Source organism: Homo sapiens, chromosome 16 (genome assembly GCF_000001405.40).
Source record: "Homo sapiens chromosome 16, GRCh38.p14 Primary Assembly".
NCBI lineage: Eukaryota > Metazoa > Chordata > Mammalia > Primates > Hominidae > Homo > Homo sapiens.
Window position 1 is genome coordinate 32,931,406 of NC_000016.10, and position 22,378 is coordinate 32,953,783.

A 22,378-nucleotide genomic window follows, 5' to 3' on the forward strand; every position below is an offset into this window, starting at 1 on the left:
CAAAGGGGCTCTGATAAAAAAGATATTTTGGAAAACCATGAACATGGGCAGTGATGTCCCATGAGTCACACACGTGAAGGCTCATGGAATACACAAGTCTTCCTGTCCTTGGAGAATGAGGAGCTGAGACAAGTGTGTGTGAAATTGTGGACAGGAGAAAAAGATGATCTCTCATCAGGGACCACACTGTGATGAGGAAGGACAGGGTGCTCAGGCTGGAGCAGGTGGTGGCTGGAGGATTTGAGTATTGGAGGAATGAATAGGAGGGGGTAGGTGGACAGGAAGCCTTTCGGGGTGTGAGACGATGGCATTTTCCAAAACCCCAGCAAGGGCCAGGGAGGGCTTGAGGGTTAGGACAGAGAGTGGATCTACCTCCTGGGCATGAAGGTGGAGAGGGTGAGGCCCCAGGGGGACAGAGAGGGCATTTGATGGCTTCACTGAAGACTTCGACCTTGATCTGATGGACAGTAGGGAGCTTTTGATGGTTCTTAAGCTGGGGAGGCATCGTGAGTATAAAGTTCAAGAAAGAGTAATGCTCCTGCTCATGTCCATTGGATAGGAATGCGGAGGGCAGGGGTCTGGGGAGAAGTCACTGATCTATGGAAGCGCTAAGTGTCGGGAGGACTTGGTGGTCCCGGGGGAAGGGGGAGGATGGGAGCAACCCTAAGAGTTGGCTGCATGAGAGGGAGGAAGGAGGGGCGAGGAAGAGCCGCATGTTTGAGCTGGGGCTGGTGGTATCTTCCCCTGGCAGAAACCAGGGAGTAGGGCAGCGTGAGGAGAGGTAGAAGGGAAGGGCCGTCTCAGGGAGTGGCTCCATTGGATTTGGGGTATGGAAAGTCCCTTGCATGGGGCGAGGGCATAAACAGGCGCTAGATTGAGCGTGGACTAGAGAGTGGCATGGGTCCTGCTGCAGCTGGGGCATGGGATGACCAAGGGTGGGCCACAGAACAGCAGGGGCCATGTGCTGAGTGGGACAGAAGGAGAGGACCGCCGGTGAGGCTGGAGTGAGGGCAGACACTTCACTCTGGAGGAGCCAGGAAGCACTGGCCAGGGCATTGGGTTAGGCAGCTGGGAGTTGAGAGGAGCTCACACCTGAGGGCCAGGAGGTAACGGAGTCGGGTGGGCAGGAGCCGCACTGGGTGTGTGTGAGATGAGGGGGCCATGCTGGCAGGCAACTGGTCCAAGCCAGGGCCAGCTGGGGGCATACAAGGTATATTGAGTGTGTTGTTTTGTCTTGGATATCATTGTGTCATTTGTTGTGGGTCGTGCTGGGAGTAAGTGTAGTGGGGGATGAATCTAACCCCTGGTGAGCCTGTGGGGAGTGTATTGTTTATGGGATTGTCTGGCATTAAGCTGTGGATCCATTGTAATGAGTGTGTGTACTGCTGTGCTGTGTCTCTTTGTTGGGGGTATTAGGTCGCTTTCTGGGCCTGAGTTATTGTGAGCCATTCCCAGCGAGGCGGCTGTGCCCGACTTGGTTGCAATGTGGGGTGATGGTGCCCCCTGGAGGACAGAAGGGACAACGACCCGGCCGTTAGTTCTTGTACTCAACAACCATTTATTTTAGAGTAGGGTTTCTCAACCTCAGTGGACATTTTGGGAAGAACAATTATTTGTTGTGTGGGGTTGCCCTGTGCACTGGAGGAAATTTGGAATCATCCCTGGCCTCGATCCACTAGATGCAAGTGTCACCTCCCAGTTGGGAAAATCAAAATGGCTCCAGACATTGTCAAATGTCCTCTGGGGGTGGAGTGGGAGTTTGGGTGACAAAATTGCCTCCTTCTGTTAGAACTACTGATTTAGGGCCATGTAAGTATCAGGCTAACTGTCCTAGCTAGGTGATAGGAGCACAGTGGGAAATGAGACAGACGGGATCCTGGCTCCTCCTGGAGCTTACAGTCCTGCAGGGAGACAGGCATGAACATAGAAACAAAAGCAGAAAATAATGACAAATTGGGTTAAGCGCCATGAAGGAAACAAAGTCAGGGCTGGGGTGCAGGTGACAGGGCAGTGGTGAAGGTGGCTGCTTTAGCTATGAGGGTCAGAGAAGGCCTCTTTGAAGAGCGACTTTTAGGCGGGGATGAGGAGCCAGTTGTGTGGAGGCGGGGAGGAAAGTTCTGGTTGAGGGAACCAGCACATGCAGAGGACCTGAGACAGGAAGGAGCTGGCATGAATGACTGCTGTGTCACGGATGCTTAAACTGTGCCCAGTGGAGGCAGCAGCTGCCACTCACTGTGTCCCCACAGTGCCTGGGACTTTGTGTGAATGGGGAGGTGTTGGAGCCCACGTGCTGGCAGGAGCAGGGAGGGGCTGGGGCCAAGTGTGAGTGTGGGCACAGGACCTCTCTGGGGACTCAGTTCTGCTGCCACCATCCTGATGAGTAGAGAGCTTAGTCTAAGTGGGTCCCAGGGAGGGCCTGGTGGGCTTGATTGGGCTCTGGGGTGAATGATCATGGAGGCATGGGCATTGGGCTAGGCCTGCCTGTGGCCTGACATCTGACTCCTCCCCCAGCGCTGGCAAGACCTCAATGTGATCAACAGCCTGCTCAAGTCCTTCTTCCAAAAGCTGCCCGAGCCTCTTTTCACTGATGGTGAGTAGGAGGTGGAAGTGGGGGTGGGGAGGGGACACCAGTCTGTGCCGCACCCCTGACCACTACTTTTGCATTTGGTTTTACTATTTTTTTTTTTTTTTTTTTTTTTTTTTTGGAGACAGTCTTGCTCTGTCGCCCAGGCTGGAGTGCAGTGGCGCAATCACGGCTCATTGCAGCCTCAAGCTACTGGGCTCAAGCGATCCTCCCACCTCAGCCTCCTGAGTAGCTGAGACAGCAGGTGAACACCACCACACCCAGCTAATTTAAAAGTTTTTTTCAGAGATGGGGGGAGTTTCTCACTATGTTGCTCAGACTGGTGTTGCACTCTTGGGCTCAAGCAATCCTCCTGCCTGCCCCAGCCCCACAAAATGCTAGGATTACAGGCATGAGCCACCATGCTGGCTTTTTTTTTTTTTTTAACACAAAAGCTTATTAAAAAAAACATAGATTGTGCAGATGTGAATAAAAACAGCACAGGACCCTGTGAATCTCCTCCTCCCTTTCACGGGAGGTTGTGGCTAACACTTTCTGAGCATTAGTGTGTGCCAAGCACAACTCCCTACAGCAACTCCATGAGGAAGGTGCTATTGTCTTCCCTCTACAGATGAGGAAACCAAGGCTCAGAGAGGTTTAATGCCTTGCCCAAGGTCACACAGGTTGTAAATGGCAGAGCCAGGATTCCACCCCAGGCGTCGGGCTCCGATGGGCTTTGGCCGTTTGCTGAACTGCTTATTCACAATCTGTTGTGTTTCTCTCCTGGCCCTCTTATATGCATGGCAGAGATACACACGTGCCTGCGTGGGGTTTGGAGTTGGGTGGGTTCAGGGGTGTGCTGGCAGATGTTTAACATCTGTTTCTGGGAGAAAAAAGCCCTAATGCCTAGCGTTTTCCAGCTTCCATGGTGTAAATACTCCTACCATGGTTTATTTCAAGCCACCAACATGATGTCACCAACATGGAATTGGGAAGAGAGGCACACAGTCGCTCTCAGGAGCTGGTGTGAGTGGACTCCAGCACACCGCTGGTTGAGTTGTTTTTAACAAAAGCAGAGTTGTAATTCTGAGATTCATTCATGTCAGTGCAGAGAGCTCTACCTCATTCTTCTTTTAAATCAGCCACATAGAATTTCATGGTTTGAATAGACTATAATTTCTTTAAGTACTCCTCTATTGATGGATATTTAGCTTGTCTTCAAATGTTTGCTATCACACAACCTGTTGCAATGGCTTTCCTTGAATAAGTCCTTGCACGCCTGGATCTGTGCTCTCTAAGGGGATTCTTAGATGTAGAATTGCTGGGTCAAAGTCCTGGTGAACCTTTCTGAGACCAGTGTCAATTGCACTCTGAGAAAGAGGCCCTGATTTAGACTCCCACTAACAATGTAGGAGTCTGTCTCTCCACATACCCAACAGCATTGGATATTACAACTATTATTGTTATTTGAAGGCCAGGCATGGTGGCTTATGCCTGTGATCTCAGCACTTTGGAAGACTGAGGCGGGTGGATCACCTGAGGTCAGGAGTTCAAGACCAGCCTGACTGTGGTGAAACCCCATCTCTACTAAAAATACAAAAAGTAGCTGGGTGTGGTGGCAGGTGCCTGTAGTCCCAGCTGCTAGGGAGGCTGAGACAGGAGAATTGCTTGATCCCAGGAGGCAGAGGTTGCAGTGAGCCGAGATCGCACCACTGCACTTCAGCCTGGGTGACAGAGCAAGACTCCATCTCAAAATAAATAAATAAATAAATAATACAATAAAATAAAAATAAAAATACTATTATTTGACACAGGATCTTGCTCTGTTGCCCAGACTGGAATGCAGTGGTACAATCATGGCTCACTGCAGCCTCAACCTCCTGGGCTCAAGTGATCCTCCCATCTCAGCCTCCTGAGTAGCTGGGACTACAGGTTTGTGCCACTATACCCATCTAATTAAAAAAAAAATTTTTTTTTGGTAGAGGCAGGGTCTCACTACGTTGCTCAGGCTGGTCTTCAACTCCTGGTCTAAAGTGATCATCGCTCCTCGGCCTTTCAAAGTGCTGGGATTTTAGGCTTGAGCCACCTCACCCAGACAGCATTAAATATTATTAATATTTTAAACTTTTGCTAATCAGATAAGAGAAATGGCATCTCATTATTGTTTTTATTTTCATTGCCCTCATTACTAGGGAGATTAAATCTTTTTTCATTAGCATATTGGCTGTTTCTATTTTCTCTGTAATTACTTGATCAGACCATGTGCCCATTTTTCCGTTGGGTTGTTTATCTTTTTCTTATGTTGATTTGTGGGAGAAAAGCTCTTTGTGTTTTACACATATTAACCCTTTGTTAGTTTTTGCAAATATTTGCTTTGGCCTGCCATTTGCCTTTTCACTTTGCAGTATAGAAACTGAAAACAAATTTTTTGTTGTTGTTGTTTTGTTTTGTTTTTTGAGACAGAGTTTCACTCTTGTCGCCCAGGCTGGAGTGCAATGGTGCGATCTCGGCTCACTGCAACTTCTGCCTCCTGGGTTCAAGCGATTCTTCTGCCTCAGTCTCCCGAACAGCTGGGATTACAGGTGCCCACCATCATGCCCAGCTAATTTTTGTATTTTTGGTAGAGACGGGGTTTCACCATGTTGGCCAGGCTGGTCTCAAATTCCTGACCTCAGATGATCCACCCTCCTTGGCCTCCCAAAGTGCTGGGATTACAGGCGTGAGCCACCGCGCCCTGCCTAACAATTTTTAATTTTATTTTTATTTAATTTTATTTATTTTTTTGAGACTGAGTCTCACTCTGTCACCCAGGCTGGAGTGCAGTGGTACGATCTCGGCTCATTGCAACCTCGGCCTCCCGGGTTCAAGCCATTCTCCTGTCTCAGACTCCCAAGTAGCTGGGATTACAGGCACCTGCCACCATGCCCAGTTAATTTTTATATTTTTAGTAAAGATGAGGTTTTGCCACATTGGCCAGGCTGGTCTTGAACTCCTGACCTCAATTGATCAGCTGATGCACCTCAGCCTTCCAACGTGCTGGGATGACAGACGTGAGCCACCGTGCCTGGCCGAAAACAATTGTTTAAAATGTGACCAAAGCTGTTCATCTTTTCTTCATGGATTCTGCATCTCATGTTTAGGATGGCCTTAGGATTATAAAAATATTTTCTTATTTTTTCCCCAGTGCTTTTATAATTTTCACAATTGGCTCTGCCGTGTGATTGCATTTGTGTATTGTGAGCTAGAAATGATCCCCCCCGCCCCCGATGGTAGCCATTTGTCCCGGGGACATCTGTTGAGGCCCCCATCCCTCCCCCCGATTGGAAGTGCTGCCTTTATCATATAATAAATATCCACATGGACCGCTTCCCCCCTTTCTAGCCTTAACATTGCTCTGCCTTTTCTGCCATGCCAGCCGGCTTCAGCTGTGCCATCCATTCAGGATGTTTCAGTCCCTGGTAGGGCAGATCCTCCCGCGTTACTCTTTCTTTAAAAACTATTCCTGGCTGTCTTTGTGCATTAGCTCATCCAGATGAATTTCAGAATAGGCTTATCATGTTCCATTCTTTAAAGGTCCCCATGGAATTGTTCTGAAGGGAGTTGGGGGAATCCTTGGTCGAGGCTGTCTGAAGCCCCTCCTCCTCTCCAGGTGCCCTTCTCTTCTGACCTGCTGAACCTTGGTGTCCATGTCCTGGAGACGGGGGCATGGACCCCTTTTCTGCGATCAGCATGCACCTCAGGTCATATTGCCTCCCAAATGAACACAGCTGGGCTACCCCAGGTCAGGTGCACACCCGAGTGTAGCTGTGGTGAGTGCAGCTGTGGTGAGTGCAGCTGTGGTAAGTGCAGCTGTGGTGGGTGTGTTCACATACACAAGAGGCTGTCGCCCATGCTGGAGCCCCCGAACTGGAGGAGTTCAAAACACAGCCCTCCCAGCAGGGCCCTCGGCCTGGAGAACAGGGTAAGGTGCTGCCCCTACCTCTCTAAAGAGTCTCTGCTGTGTTCTAGACAAATACAACGACTTCATTGAGGCCAACTGCATTGAGGACGCGCGGGAGTGGATGAGGACGCTGCGGAAGCTGGTAAGGAGAGAGAGGTGCTGCCAGGCACGAGGTGGGGCAGCTGCCTGAGCACCTCTGTCCCAGGAGGCAGGGAGTCCGGTGTTGCCCACGACACCTGTGGCCTTGCCCTGCTCCACTCAGGGCATCAGTTTCCCCATCCACACAAGAGAACGGGGGTTAGAGGATAGGTTCCAGACTCCCTGAGGCATGGTAGTGGGAGATCTTTGGGGCATGGTGGTGACAGGGGACAGGGGCAGGCCCTTACAGCCTGTCCCCATGCCCCTCCTCTCTCCTGCTCAGATCCGGGATCTCCCAGGACACTACTATGAAACACTCAAATTCCTTGTGGGCCATCTCAAGACCATCGCTGACCACTCTGAGAAAAACAAGGTGGGTAGGAGTCCCGCATGGAGTCTGGGGGAGGCAAGCACGGACTTACTGTGTGGGGGCCCTCAGCACGCACTGAGCTCCTGCAGGTCCAATAACTCAGGCCCCTCTAGGCACGCCCTCCTCCTATGACTGCTCCGTCCCCATCCCGCTCCTACATGCTGGTCAGTGCTTTCCCCCAGAGAGCCATCTCCTGAGTTTCTGAGGGCTTTCCAGAGGCAGGGAACCCCGGCTCCCCGTATCCGATGCATTGCCATCCTCCGACTTAGCTCAAGTCCCTCGTATTGCATTTTCCTCATCAAACCCCTTATGCCTTCTGGTTCTGCAGTGGGGAAAATGAGGGGAGTGATAGGATTTTTTGTGTTTTTTGTTTGTTTTTTTGAGACGAAGTCTCACTCTGCCACTCAGTCTGCAGTGCCTTGGCACGATCTCGGCTCACTGCAACCTTCACCTCCCAGGTTCAAGCAATTCTCCTGCCTCAGCCTCCCAAGTAGCTGGGATTACAGGCACCTGGAAGTGATCAGATTTTTTCCCAGGCCTAAAATAACCCCTGGGACCTCCAACATGTTTTCTACTGAAGGGTCTCCCACTGCTGGCACTGACCACTCAGGGCTGCCCTGTATAGGTGTGCAGGTTGGGCACTGCTCATGGCTGCTGGGCCTGGGGATGAAAGGGGCTGAAATCTGGCCTGTGCTCTACTCATCAAGCATCTCCATGCCCCTACAAGGGGGTGTCCACCCTCTAAGCTGGGGACTGGTGAGGATGTAGTTGGGGATAGAGGCCTTAGGGGCCAGAGTGAGGGAGGACTGAGTTCAGGATGTTGACAGTGACCTGCTTTCCCTGCTGCCCAGATGGAACCCCGGAACCTGGCCCTGGTCTTTGGGCGGACACTGGTGAGGACGTCTGAGGACAACATGACAGACATGGTGACCCACATGCCTGACCTCTACAAGATCGTGGAGACACTGATCCAGCACGTAAGCCCCTGTTCCGGGGGTCACCCGGCAGCCCCTGGGGCCCAGGCCATGTTCCTCTGAGCCCCTCACTCTTGCTCAGCCTGGCGGGGTGTGCCCCAGGAAGGGCTCGGCAGCTTTAGAGCATGCTGCTAGGGTGGTATATATTCCTCCAAAGCCATGGGCTGCATTTCAAGGCAAGGCAGGAATGGATCCTGGAATCCTTGCTGCCCTGGGATGTTGTGTCCCCAGCAGGAGAGTCAAGAGGCCCCCGAGCGTCCAAGATGCCTGGGAAAGGCAGAAGAGGAGGAAGGGCAGGGAAGGTGCTACAGGTGGAGGGCAGAAGGGGCAGCTTCAGAAGGTGGCCCCTGGAGAGGTGTCCTGGCAGACACGAGCAGACGGGGGCCAAGGTCTGGCCTGACATCAGGAGGCCCCGGCTCTAGTGACTTTCCCTGCTGGCCCCACTGAGGTTTTGGGGAGGTAGAGGTGATGTCCATGGTAACAAGGGGTGGATGGGGCAAGGCACAGGGCCTTGGCCTGAGGCAGGATCCTGCACCAGTGCTTGGCATGTACTGGGCTGGCCACCTCCCTTCTCATGGCTTCCTGGATGCCAACAGCCGTGGTCCTGTAGGTTCTTGTTACCGTGCATGGGCGGAGGAGAGCCCAGAGTGGCCAGCAGAGGGCTCAGGAGGCCTTGGTCTTCCAGAGCCCAACCCTAAGGCAGCACTGCCGCCTTCTGGGGCACACACAGATGTCATTATGAATCATAGATTTTCCATTTCCAATTCTTGTTACAGCCCACAGAGGATGAGAACAGAGCCCCTCCTGCCAGGGGAAATAAGACTGGCAGCTGGTCAGAGGAAGGGAAGCCTCAGTCCCAAGCCCCCTAGACACTTTAGGGAAGGAAAGCTGGGCCCTATCACCCCCATTTTACAGAGGAGGAAACAGGCTCAGAGAGGCAAAGCAACTTGCTCATGGTCACACAGCTAATAAGTGGCAGCCCAAGATTTCAAGCCAGATCTGACTGACCAAAGCCTGTGTTTTCCTCCTGCTATCAACCCAAAGGCCAGACTCCTAGGTCCCTCCTTGAGCTGGCTTGGGACGGAGGGAGGGGGCCAGGGTAAGGATGCGAGGTTGTGGGCAGCTGAGCCATGTTAACAGCCTTGCTTGCCCATCTCCTCCTTCACTGCATGCTCAGGGCTCCGAGCCACAGGAGGGAGCATCACAGCCTGCTGCATCCGGACACTGGGAACACCACTCCAGAGCTGTCTGGGAGGCCAGGGCTGCCCTGCAGCGTCTGGGATCCTGGTGAGGCCTTGGGAAAGCTTAGCTCTCCAGGGCACCAGGGAGCCCCGGAACCTCCCAGGAGGTTGTGTTTTGGGGGCAGCAGCAGGGAAGAGTGGGTGTCTGGCCCTGTGCTCCTGGAGAAGCCCCTGGAAGCCCAAGGTCTGAGGTCAGCTGAGGTGTCAGGAACTGCAGCCTTCAGGGAGGAAGGAGGCCAAAGCCCCAAGGGGGAGTCCCTGCTCTGGGCAGGGTGGAGAAGGTGGAGTTTGTCTCATTTAGCACTGACACTAGCGCCTGGCACACAGTGGATACTCAGTGTTTGTGGAGTATAAATGAATGAGTAAATTGCTAATTGAGGTTATATCAGGCTGGGCTTTTCTTTCTCTTTCTTTCTCTCTCTCTCTTTCTTTTCGCTTTCTGGGTTTTTTTTTTTTTTTTTTTTTTTTGATAGAGTCAGTCTGTCACCCACACTGGAGTGCAGTGGGCAAATATGGCCCACTTCCAGGCTCAGGCGATCCTGCCATCTCAGCCTCCTGAGTAGCTGGGACTAGAGATGCCACCACCACACCAACTGGCTAATTTTTGTATTCTTTTGTAGAGATGAGGTCTTACTATGTTGCCAGGGCTAGTCTTGAACTCCTGGACTCAAGCGATCCTCCCATCTCGGCCTTCCAAAGTGCTGGGATTACAGGTTTGAGCCATCACGCCCGGCCAGGCTGGGCTTTTCTACTCAGAGATTCATTCCCGAGAGCTAACTGGCTAACTGAGCTAGTGTCCTTCCCTTCTCTGCCTCCTTGGCATTTGAACGTAACCAGCCCTGGATGATTGTCAAGGGAATGAGCCACCCACTCTGCAAGCCCTGAAAGCCTGCCCACCCAAGCGTGCCAGCTCTGTCTAGCCCAGAGACTCCATAGCCAGGGCAGTGCTGCTGTCACTTGGGGCACCCAGACCAGTCTTCAGGTTGGAAAGAGGGTGGCAACTGAGGGGTAAAGAGGAACAGCGACTTGCCCAGGGCCACGCAGCAAGATAATGGCATAGCAGAGAGGAGAGCAAACCTGGATGTCTGATCTTGCAGCGGGCAAGTTGCCAGGAGCCTCTACCTATGTTTACGAAGTCAAGTGGAACCCAAACAAAGATCACCCAGGGCATTTGCTCAGGGACTCACTCAGCAAAGGCAGTGATACCTAATGTTTCTCAGCTTCAGCACTAGTGACCACTGAGGTCCAGATAAGTCTTTATTGTGGGAGGCTGTTCTGTGTGTTATAGGACATTTAGCAGAATCGCTGGCTTCTACCTGCTGGATGCTGGGAATATCACTCTAGTTGTCACAATCAAAAATGTCTCCAGACATTGCCAAGTGCCCCCTGGGGTGGGAGATTGATGGCAGTGGCTCTAGGGCCAGCCTGCTCCTATGTGCTATGTGGCCTTGGACAAGTTCCTTACCTGCTGTGCCTCAGTATCCACACCTATAAAGTAGAGATGACAATACTGTTTACCTCACATTGTTGTGAATGTCTGCTAAAGCACTCACGGCGGTGCCTGGCAGGTCCTAAGTGTTGTGTGAGAACTGACTGTCAACCTCTTCCTCATGGTCATTATTCCACGCCAGAGACAGATCCCCATGCTGGGAACACGGAGGTGCATGGGAGCCTGCTCAGAAGGAATATTGCCAGCGGGTGTGGTGGTGCGTGTCTGTGGTCTCAACTACTTGGGGGGGCTGAGGTGGGAGGCTGCAGTGAGCCGAGATTGTGACACTGCACTCCAGCCTGGGTGACAGAGTGAGACCCTGCCACACACAAAAAAAAAATCCATAAAGTGATGTTTCTCATTCATTTATTCATTTAATAATGTTTATCAGAGTAAGAGCTGCATCTCTTTTTGCTCTGGGCTATGTCCAAGGAAGCCCCACAGAAGGACCCACCCTGGCCCTGGGTGCAGGGCTAGGGTCGTAGTCATGGAGTTCTTGAACTGCCTTAGAGGACCATGATGAGAACTTAGCCAGGCAGAGCAGGGAGAAAGGGCATCCCAGGCGGAAAGAACAGCATGTGCAGAAACAGGGTGGCAGGAACTAGTGTGGATTCCTCTTGAGAGCCGTGGCCACCCGGGCACTTCCTGTAGACGCTGTGGCTTGCAGAGTACTTCTGGGCACCTTCCAACCCGAGTTAACAGCTGGCTTCTTTGGGCCGATCCTCAGGCTCCCCCTGGTCAGCCTGTCTCTGGAAGCCGCACTTTTGAATAACGGTAGCTGACATCTATTATACATTAACAACGTGCTTCACTAAACGTTTTCCATACAGTATTTCATCTCAATCCTCCTCAGGCCTAGAAGGAGGTACTCACATCATGCCCGTTTTAGAGATAAGTAAATAGACTTACAGAGGGAAAGTAACTTGGCTAAGGTGAACTCGAACCAAGATAACTGACTCCAGAGCTTCCATTTTTCTTTTTCTTTTCTTTTTTTTTTTTTTTTTGAGACAGAGTCTCACTCTGTCGCCCAGGCTGGAGTGCAATGGCGCAGTCTCCACTCACTGCAGCCTCCAGCTCCTGGGTTCACGTGATCCACCTCAGCACCCCCAAGTAGCTGGGATTATGGGCGCACGCCACCATGCCGGGCTAATTTTTGTATTTTTAGTAGAGCTGGGGTTTCACCCTGTTGGCCAGGCTGGTATTGAACTCCTGACCTCAGCTGATGCACCTGCCTCAGCCTCCCAAAGTGCTGGGACTACAGGTGTGAGCCACTGTGCCCAGCCAGAGCTTGCATTTTTCTTATCTTCCTTTGCTCTCTTCTCTTCTATCCCTTTCTTGTTTCCCTTCTGGCCTTCCTGTGCTGTTTGATTTAATCACATGTCAGATCATGAGCAATAATAACTGAGGCTCATGGCGCATGCTCAGGCAAGTCCCCTTGTTTCCCCTCTTCATTCCCCTAGGTGCCCACTCTTAATAGGCTAATATGTGTCCTTCCAGGACACCTTCCACTTATTGTAAATGCATGGCTATCCTTAAATATATATAATATTCTTTGTGTGTTTTAAGTCTACATAATGAGATTATAAATTGCCTGTTCCTGTTCTTTCATAGGTGTTGAGGGGGGTAAAGGGTAATTGCCTTAATTTTTATTCATTTATTTTTTTTTGAAATGGAGTTTCACTCTTGTTGTCCAGGCTGGAGTACAGTGGTGCGACCTCAGCTCACTGCAACCTCTGCCTCCCGGGTTCAAGTGATTCCCCCACCTCACCCTCCCGAGTAGCTGGGATTACAGGTGTGCACAACCATGCCCAGCTAATTTCTATATTTTTAGTAGAGATCGTGTTTCACCATGTTGGCCAGGTTGGTCTCAAACTCCTGACCTCAGGTGATCCACCCAACTCAGCCTCCCAAAGTGCTGGGATTACAGGTGTGAGTCACTGAACCCAGCCTGTCACTGTCAATTTCTAATGCTTATCAGTTTCTGTGTCTTCCTTCCACCACATCTAAAAGCCAAAAGTGGTGGGTGCGGTGGCTCATGCTTGTAATCCCAAAATCTACAATTTTTTTTTTAATTAGCTGTGCAAGGTGGCACATGCCTGTAGTCCCAGCTATTCAGGAGGCTGAGGTGGGATAATCTCTTGAGCCCAGGAGTTCAAGGGTACAGTGAGCTAGGATCATGCCACAGCATTCCAACCTGGATAACAGCAAGAGACCCTATCTCAAAAATAAATTAATAAATACAATAAAAGCCAAAAGTGCCTTAGTTATTTCTTGGAGCTTGCCGAAGTCCATCTCTTTACTTGCTCAAGTATTCAATTAAGAGAGTCTTTGTGTAATAAATTTTCTGCTGTCTCAGGATAGCTTTATTTCAAGGCCAGGTGTGGTGGCTCCAGAGAGCAGGAGGTTCACTTAAGGGGTGATTAAAACAATCTGTGGTATGCCTGTAATCCCAGCACTTTGGGAGGTGGAGGTGGGTGGATCACTTGAGGTCAGGAGTTGAGACCAGTCTGGCCAACATGATGAAACCCCATCTCTACTAAAAATACAAAAATTTTCCAGGCGTGAGGGCATGCACCTGTAATCCCAGCTACTTGGGAGGCTGAAGCCAGAGAATCACTTGCACACAAGAGGCAGAGGTTGCAGTGAGCCAAGATTGCACCACTGCACTCCAGCCTGGGTGACAGAGTGAGATTCTGTTGGAAAAAAAAAAAAAAAAAGAATAGCTTTATTTTACATTCTCATTTTTTTAAATGAGAGTTTAGCAGGGTATAAAATTCTAGGTTCCTTCAACACATCAAAACTTACTTTCTTGTCTTGTCTTCTTGTGTCTTGCTGCTGAAAGTTCCAAGTACCTGTGATACGTGTTCATTTATAAGCAATCTGGATTTTTTTTTCAGAAAACTTAGAATTTTATCTTCAAGATTCTCAAATTTTACAAAATATATTAAACTGTGGGGGTCTTTATTTTGTCTCTTGTTTGGCCTTTATGAGAAAGCTCTCGCCTCCTGCCCATCAGGAAACCTCCAACACCTTTCTCCTGTCATTTTCCTTTTCTGGGCTGAGTATGTGACACCCCTGTTGTCAGTGTGGCACCCATGGGTGGCAGGTGGCCTGGGGCATGCTCGGCTGTCACAGCCATGGACCTGGCCAACACTAACGGCACTGGTGCCTCCCTGCCCCCCGGCTCGCTGTGGGGAGTATACCATAGGGGTGTGCCCAGGACAGTGTTTAGAGAAAAGCAAGTAAAAGCGAAGCTCTCCCTAAGCCTATCTCCCGTCTGAGGTGGCCGCTCCCACTCACTGCCCTGTCTCCTCCCACACTGGGGTCCCACCTTTTCTCTCCCCCAGGGTTTTTCATAGTCTGTGGAGTCAGGTTTTAGCGTCCATCAAGCTCCCTCTGAGCCCTCTTTTGCAGCCCCGCCAGCCTGGGGTTTGTTGAGAGAGAGGCACCCCTTGCCGCCTGAGTGGGTCCTCTGGAATGAGCAGGTGGAAGAGACTCTTCTTTCCCATGCTGATTTCATCCCTTCCTTTTGTCTTCTCTGCAGTCAGACTGGTTCTTCAGTGACGAAGAGGACAAGGGAGAGAGAGAGTAAGTGATGCCGTGGGCTGGGCTGGCATGGGGGCTGGTCTGGGGTGAGCCCCAGTCCTTGGGGGTGGGGCAGGCAGCGAGACTTAAGCTGGGGAAGGTGTCTGTCCTTGAGGCTTCCCTCAAGTCTGATGGAGGAAACACAGACCCTCTCCTCAGGAGCCCCTAGTCTGATAGAGAAGCACAAAGCTTGCCTTCAGGAATCCCCAGTCTAAATGGGGGAGATACAGGCCTTGCTCAGAGGGAACCCAATTCAGAAGTAAAGGCAGCTCCTGCCCTCCAGGCTACTGAGAAGGACTTAGGTTGGAGGAGTTCCAGTCTAGTGCGGGAGACACAGCTCCTGCCCCTAGCTGAAGGGGCCGCTCTGGCCTTCGTGGTTCTGAGATGTTGAGGAAGGCACAAAGCTGTCTAACAGGGGACATGTAGGAATCATCCTCAAGAGCACCTGGCTGATGAGGGAGACGGTCCCTGCCCCAGTGAGCCCGGTCTGATGGAGGAGACACCGGCTCTGTCATCAGGGCACCCCCCTCTGGGGGGTCGGCAGCCCAGCATCCGAGGGCATGCCAGCTGACCCCTCCTCCTGTTCGCAGGCCCCTGTGGGCAGCAAGGAGCCTCAGGCAGTGCCCAACATTGAGTACCTCCTGCCCAACATTGGCAGGACAGTGCCCCCTGGTGACCCGGGGTCAGGTGAGCACAGGGGCCTGGGAGTGGGGAGGCAGGAGAGTGGACACTGCATTCCTGATGGTCCCAGATACCTGGCCAGATGCCCAGCTTCCCTGTGCCACCCCAGCGGGGCCCTCCCCTGCCAGCCACCATGGAGATGGGGCTGTTGGGGGCCTTCTCCCTCCCTGGGGAAGTCCAGCTTGCCCTGTGCCCACCTCCTGTCTGTGCAGCTGCCCCGCCCCAGGCAGGGTTGGAGCTTTGTTCCCCCTCTCTCACTGGTTTCTTTCCTCAGCCTTTAATTTCTCATGGGGTGGCTGTGTCCCTCTGGGCATGTTCCTCTTTTTAATTTTTCTTCCTTTTCTCCTTGCACCCCCACCTCTCCCTCCTCCTCTCCCCGTGCTCTCCTCCCACCCCTTTCTCTTCTCCTCCCCCTCCCCTCCTCCAGCGGACCTGTTGGAGATTTAAAGGGTACAGTGCAGTGTCGTGGCCTCGGTCACTAACAGTGGCGGGTGATTATAAGAAGGCTGGGTGGGCACAGAGGCAGGCAGAATGTCCCGGACTGTGAGGACCCCACACTGACATGCCAGTTACCCCTGCTTGTTATCCACTTACCCCAGCAGTCCATGCCCCTCCCATCCTAGAGCCCCTTCTCAGGAGGAAGGAGGCACTCACTGGGCCCAGGGCCCTCCCCGTTGCCTGGACACCGGGGCATCGAATTGCTGCCCTTCTGCAGTGCCACAGACCTTGTGGCCTCTCTTTGCCGAGTCTCACCACTGCTAGTCATCCGGGCTGGGGACTGACACTCTCTGGAGACCAGCGATGCCACGCCCAGAAGCTTCTCTTTATCTCTAACTCCTGCCTCAGTCACCCCAATGGGCCGCCTCCTCCTGCTTAAGAAACCTGGGCCCTAAGTCCTGTTTGCAGGGCCTGTGGCCCTCTCATGGCAGAGGACAGATGATTTACATGCTCAGAGACAGATGAGGGCCACTCCCTTTGTGGCTGCAGCCACTGACTCCTCCCCCCGCCATTGTTGTCCCTCCCTTTAGTTTTAGCATTTCTGTTTGTCTCTGACAGAGGCACACAGGAGCTCCCTAGTCACCAGAGGCAGGCTCAGGAGGGGCCAGAAGACATGGGGGTGGGACGGCAGAGAGTGACCCCATGTCTCTTCTAATCACCTGCCGCCCCCCACGCCCCGTGTGTCATGTGTGATCGCCCATCTTGCTTTTCTCACCTTGTGCAGGGGGAGGGGTCCGGAGAGGGGGGCATCTAACTTGCCTGCCAGAGAGTGTGGATTAACCACACCTGCCCACTACCCTGTGGGACCCCAGGAGGCCCTTGGACCAACCTGCTCCCTCTCTAGCCTTGGAGAGGACCCACCAGGACGTGTTTCTGGTTCCTTCTCCACCCCAGTGATATTAAGGGAGTGGGACCCAAGTCCCATAGAAATCATGCTTTTAGTCTCCTTCACAACTGGGTGATAACTGGGGACACTGCCCATGAGGCAGGGTGACCCCAGGTCTGGAGGTGGAACCTATCAAGGCTCTAATCACCAGCCCACTCCACCTCCTGCATCCCACCCATTTCATTTCTCCCTTTTATCCATTATTCATGTGGTCCCTCTTCTTTGTTGTGTGCTCGGGGGTGGATGTAGGGCACCCACCTCTCTGTGCACTGTGTGGTCTCCATTTCTCCAGAGCATCTGTGATTTGCTGTGTTTCACTGTGGTGGTTTCCATGGACTGCACCTGATATTTGGCATTTTCTCTCCAGTGCTTCAGAGTAACAGGGACAGGCGGGGAAGGGGAGAGGAACTAGGCTCAAAGACAATGCCCCCTTGCCCTTAGCCATCGGTAAATGAGGGGCCAGTGGCTGGCAGCCTGATGTCACTTCCTGCCTCTAGAGGAAGTGGCAATTAACATCATTTTCTGCTCCATCCCTTTCCCATAGATGGACATCAGAGGTCCATCATACTCCTAGGGCCTGGGGAGATCTCATGTTTCAGAATTCCCTGGTTTCTGAAGCCTTTGAGGAGAGGAATTGTGTGCATAAGACTCAACTTTCTTTTTCCCTGATGCAACTTTCATTTTTTTTTCTGTCTTTCACCAACAGATTCTACCACCTGTAGTTCAGTCAAGTCCAAGGTACGTATGAAGGCAATTCTGAAGGCTTGATCCCTGTACAAGCCAGCCCACTTTGGTTTTTGTTCAAGAGAATTGAGGGAATGGCAATTGGACTGTGGGGAAAGTTGATGGTCCCTGGGAGGGAAGTCAGGAGGTACCGAGTGCCCAAGGTAAGCTGAGAAGTTGCTTACCTTGGCAGTGTTTGGTGAGGCATCTGCTGTAGTAGAAGGACCTGGCCTGGGAGTTATGTGGCTAGGAGGCAATGTCACTCAGTAGTTAGAAGCACAGACTCTGGAGTCAGACAGTCCTGGGTTTGAGTTCTGGCTCCACCATTTAGTAGTTTGGGATATTGGGCAAGTTACTTAACCACTTTCTGATCCTTAGCTTCCTCATCTATAAAATGGGAATATCAGTAAATCTGTGGGGTGCTATAATAAATAAAACAGATATCCTTTAAGGTCTTTGGAGAGCCTAAAGCAAGCAGAAGGAAATAAAGAGAGGAGCAGAAATCCATGAAATTGAAAACAGTTGAAGAAAAGCAATGAAACCAAAAGCTGGTTCTTTGAAAAAAAATCAATGAAATTGATAAACCTCTAGCCAGACTAACAGAATAAAAAGAAAGATGGCACAGATTATCAGTATCAGGGATGAAAGAGGGACATCACTACAGACCCCTAAGTTATTTTTTATTTTTTATTTATTTATTTTTTTGAGACGGAGTCTTGCTGTGTCACCCAGGCTGGAGTGCAGTGGCACCATCTCGGCTCACTGCAAGCTCCGCCTCCTGGGTTCACACCATTCTCCTGCCTCAGCCTCCCGAGTAGCTGGGACTACAGGTGCCCACCATCACGTCCAGCTAATTTTTTGTATTTTTAGTGGAGACGGGGTTTCACCAGGTTAGCCAGGATGGTCTTGATCTCCTGACCTCGTGATCCGCCCCTCTTGGCCTCCCAAAGTGCTGGGATTACAGGCGTGAGTCACCACGCCTGGCTATAGACCCCTAAGTTATTGAATTTATGGGCATAAAGTTGCCCATAAATTCAATAACTTAGATGAAATAGACCAATTCTTTGAAAGATTCAGACTGCCAAAACTCACTTAAGAAAAAATAGATAACCTGAATAGTCCTATACCTCCTAAAGAAATTGAATATGTAATTTAAAACCCCCCAACAATGAAAACTTCAGGATCAGATGGTTTCACTGTTAAATTCTACCAAATATTTAAGGAATTTTTTAAATGTTTAAACAATTTACTTTAATAATTTTAAAATATTCTAAATAGAAAATAGTATAATTTTAAATATTGATATATTTAAATAGTTATTTAAATATTTGAATTATTTAAATGTTATTTAAATAGTTATTTAAGAAATAATACCAATTCTCCACTATCTCTTTTGGAAGATAAAAGAGGATGGCTGGGCACCATGGCTCACACCTGTAATCCTAGCACTTTGGGAGGCTGAGGTCGGATCTTGAGATCAAGAGTTAAAGACCAGCCTGGCCAACGTGGTGAAACCCCATCTCTACTAAAAATACAAAAAAATTAGCTGGGTGTGGTGGCATGCACCTGTAATCCCAGCTACTCAGGAGGCTGAGGCAGGATAATTGCTTGAGCCTGGGAAGAGGAGGTTGCAGTGAGCTGAGGTCGTGCCACTGTACTCCAGCCTGGGCAACAGAGCGAGACTCCATCTCAAAAGAAAGAAAGGAAAATAGAAGAGGAAGAAACACTTTCCAACTCATTTATGAGGCCAGCATTACCCTGATACCAAAACCTAACAATGCTTTTGAAAAAGATAGGGCTAATTCATATGATAATACCACAAATACTTGTTGAATGTCTACTTTATATCAGTACTGTGCTGGGTACTGAAAATATAAATAATGAGCCAAACAGATAGGTTCCTGCCCTCACAAAGCTTATCTTCTACTGAGAGACAGACACTAAGCTAATGAAGAAATAGACTATCTGTCTGGCAGGTTTGGAGGCACAGTGGAGGCAGAAACCAGATGGAATGAGCTAATAAAGTGAGGGAGGGAAGAGCGCATACATAGACCACTCTTGTGAGAAGTCCGATTGTGAAGAGATATTTACAGAACAAAAATGGGAAAATATGTGGCTTGAGGGAAACTTTCATTAAAAGATGAAAGCAGCCAGGCATGGTGGCTCATGCCTGTAATCCCAACACATTTGGAGGCCGAGGCAGGAGGATCCCTTGAGCCCAGGAGTCCGAGACCAGCCTGGACAACATAGTGAGACCTCAACTCTACAAAAAATGCAAAAATAACCAGGCATGGTGGGGCATGCCTGTAGTCCCAGCTACTTGGGAGGCTGAGGCAGGAAGATCATTTGAGCCTGGGAGGTTGAGGCTGCAGTGATGAGCCATGATCATGCCACTGCAGTCCAGCCTGGGCAACAGAGCAAGACCCTGTCTCAAAAACAAACAAACAAACAAAAAAAGATGAAAGCACATATTTACTTGCCAATGGGAATGATCCAGGTGAGAGACAGAGAGAGAGGAAGAGCTGGGCCCAGAGCCCATGAAGCAGCAGTAGCCTGTGCTCCTAGCAGATGCATCCCCAGGTGTAGTAGGAAGAGAGGGAGGTGGCAGGGGCACACTAGCAGGCAGTGTTGGCAGCAGGTCATTGGGGTTGCTCCCAGCTGATGGCTCTTTCCTCAGCGAAGTGGAAGGTGAGGACCTCTGCTGGGCATGAAGGTGGCAGGGAACGTCTGAGCAGAGTGAAGGAAGTCTGAAATAGGTCCCATAAAGCAAGGCAGATTTCCTGAAGGGGCCGAGGAGCATCATGGGCAGGCTGAGGCCTCTGAAGGCTGCGGCCCCTTCTCGAGAGCCAGCACTTTGCCCAGCAGCCGTGCCCTGCCCCTTTGGGCCTGGCTTCTCCACACTCCCCGGAGAGCCCCTTCTGAGTCCCTTCTGGCCAGAAGATGTCCTCATTTGCTTCCTGTGACCCCACCGTGTCTCCAGTGGACTCAAAACTGACCTCCCCAGAGCTCACAGGCCACTGCCTCCCTGAAGCCTCCTGGCTTGAAATTCCTTCCTCCTGAGACCCTAGCAGTTACCGCTTCCCAGTCTGGGCCTGCCTGACTCCTGCAGGAGGCCTTCTCAATTATAGGGGCTTGAACAATAGAACGTGCTTTTCAGAGAGTACGTCTTTACTGTAAACTGACTCAGAGACCTCACTGTGACCCAGTGAGTTCATCACAATCACTAGCATGAGATGAAAGAGGAGGGAATGCACATTTACTGAGCACCTACTAGGTGCCAGCCAGTATGCAGATAACTTTTCACAAACATCGGTTTCATTTCATTTTTACGGAAAACCTTGAATTTTGTACCATCCCCATTTTACAGATGGGGGAACCAAGGCTCAGAGAACTTAAGTAACTAGAAGGTTGGGCATATTCTTGGGCCTCAGGCAGGGGAGCTGGTTAGGTGGCCTCCTTCCTTGGTGGTGCTCTGGTATCTGAGTTCTGATCCTCTGTTCTCAGGCTCTGAGTGTTTCTTGATTTTCTGGCACACGGACTGGCTCTGTCCTGAGCCTGAGCTGAAACCAGCTGGCCAAGCCTCTAAGAAACGGAGGCATGGATGAGACTGCCAGTCTATTAAGTACAGCGATAGGAATAACTGTTGCAGGGACAGGGACGTTGAGTTGTGTTTGCCGCAGTGGTCTCAGTCTCATCTACTGGGGAGACCAGGAATCAGAGTCAGGGAAGCAGGAGGCACCAGGTGTCTGAGAACCTGTGGCCTCCTGTCCCAGCTGTAGGGAAGGGGCTGCCTTGGGCACCAGGGCCTGGCCTCCCACCAGGCTGTGAGTGCTGAGGGTGGGCACAAATCCTGCAAGTGCCGGACACTCACGACTGCCAGCCTCTGTCTCTCTTGCCTGACTCTAAAACCCAGGTCCGTGATGGTCAAACTGTGTTCCCTGGAGCCACCATGGGGTTGTGACCACCAACAGGTATATGAGAGGACCAAGTGTGCAGGCATCCAAGCTCCCACGGCCTCCATCTGAGCCACTCTTGGTTCTGTCTCACATTGCTGGGTTTCTCGGGAGGATTCAATTTGGACAGGGTGCTCCCAAGCTCATCAGAAACCATTGTTCTAGATGTGACAGCCCTGTCTCTAGACTTTCTCCAGGCTGTGTCCAGGACACCCAGGCGGCGTCGGTGCCCCAAGTTACAGCCACATTCTGATCCTGCCTCCCTGTGTGGATGGTTTAGGCTGTCCTGGGTAGGAGTGTGGGCAGGCACACATGGCGGTCTCTCAGCTCCACGGCAGGTGGAGTAGAGCTGTTCTTTGCTCAGAAGCCTCCCTTATCATCTTTTTTTTTTTTTTTTTGAGACAGGTCTCGCTCTGTCACCCAAGCTGGAGTGCAGTGGCCTGAACACAGCTCACTGCAGCCTCTAACTGCTGTGCTCAAGTGATCCTCCTGCTTCAGCCTCCTGAGTTAGCTGGACTACAGGCACACACCACCACTCCTGCCTAATGTTTTTGTATCTTTTTGTAGAAATGGGGTCTTGCTTCTTTGTGCAGGATGTTCTTGAACTCCTGGCTTCAATGGATCCTGCTGCCTCAGCCTCCCAAAGTGCTGAGATTACAGGCATGAGCCACGGCACCCACTCTCCTTATCATCTTAATTCTAAGTTCTTGAGGAAGGGGACCACTTTTGTCTTCTCTGGTGGTCCCTCGCCTAATGCTTAGCTTTCTTTACGGCCTGCAATAATCCCCGAGCACCCCCACTGGTACAGGGAGAAGTCTAGCTCCTGACCAGGCTCTGATTTCCTCGGCCCTGCCCTATTCAAGTTCCTCAAATTCCTTGACCCCAACCCTTGCCCCATAAGAAACCTCCCCATGACCCTGACCCTGACAGAGAACTGGCCGTGAAAATTTTTGCATTGACAACAGATATTGGAATGCAGGGTTTCCCTATCTACTTCAGGCCCCTTCAAGAATCAGAGAAGGCCAAGCATGGTGGCTCATGCCTGTAATCCCAGCACTTTGGGAGGCCAGGGTGGGGAGATCACTTGAGGCCAGGAATTTGAGACCAGCCTGGCCAATATGGTGAAACCCCGTCTCTACTAAATATACAAAATTAGCTGGGGGTGGTGGTGCATGCCTGTAATCCCAGCTACTCGGGTGGCTGAGGCAGGAGAATTGCTTGAACTGGGGAGGCGGAGGTTGCAGTGAGCCAAGATGGCACCACTGCACTCCAGCCTGGGCAACAGAGTGAAACTGTGTCTCCAAAAAAAAAAGAAAGAAAGAGAGAGAGAGGGAGAG

The 22,378-nt window shown here is 51.1% G+C and overlaps 2 pseudogenes; one reads left to right on the forward strand and one right to left on the reverse strand.

Annotated features, from left to right (window-relative positions):
• Positions 1-17,128, forward strand: part of LOC124903682 (rho GTPase-activating protein 23-like) — a 28,929-nt pseudogene extending 11,801 nt beyond the window's left edge.
• Positions 363-1,164, reverse strand: LOC100419016 (proline rich 21 pseudogene; annotated as a pseudogene).
• Positions 17,129-22,378: the final 5,250 nt, after the last annotated feature.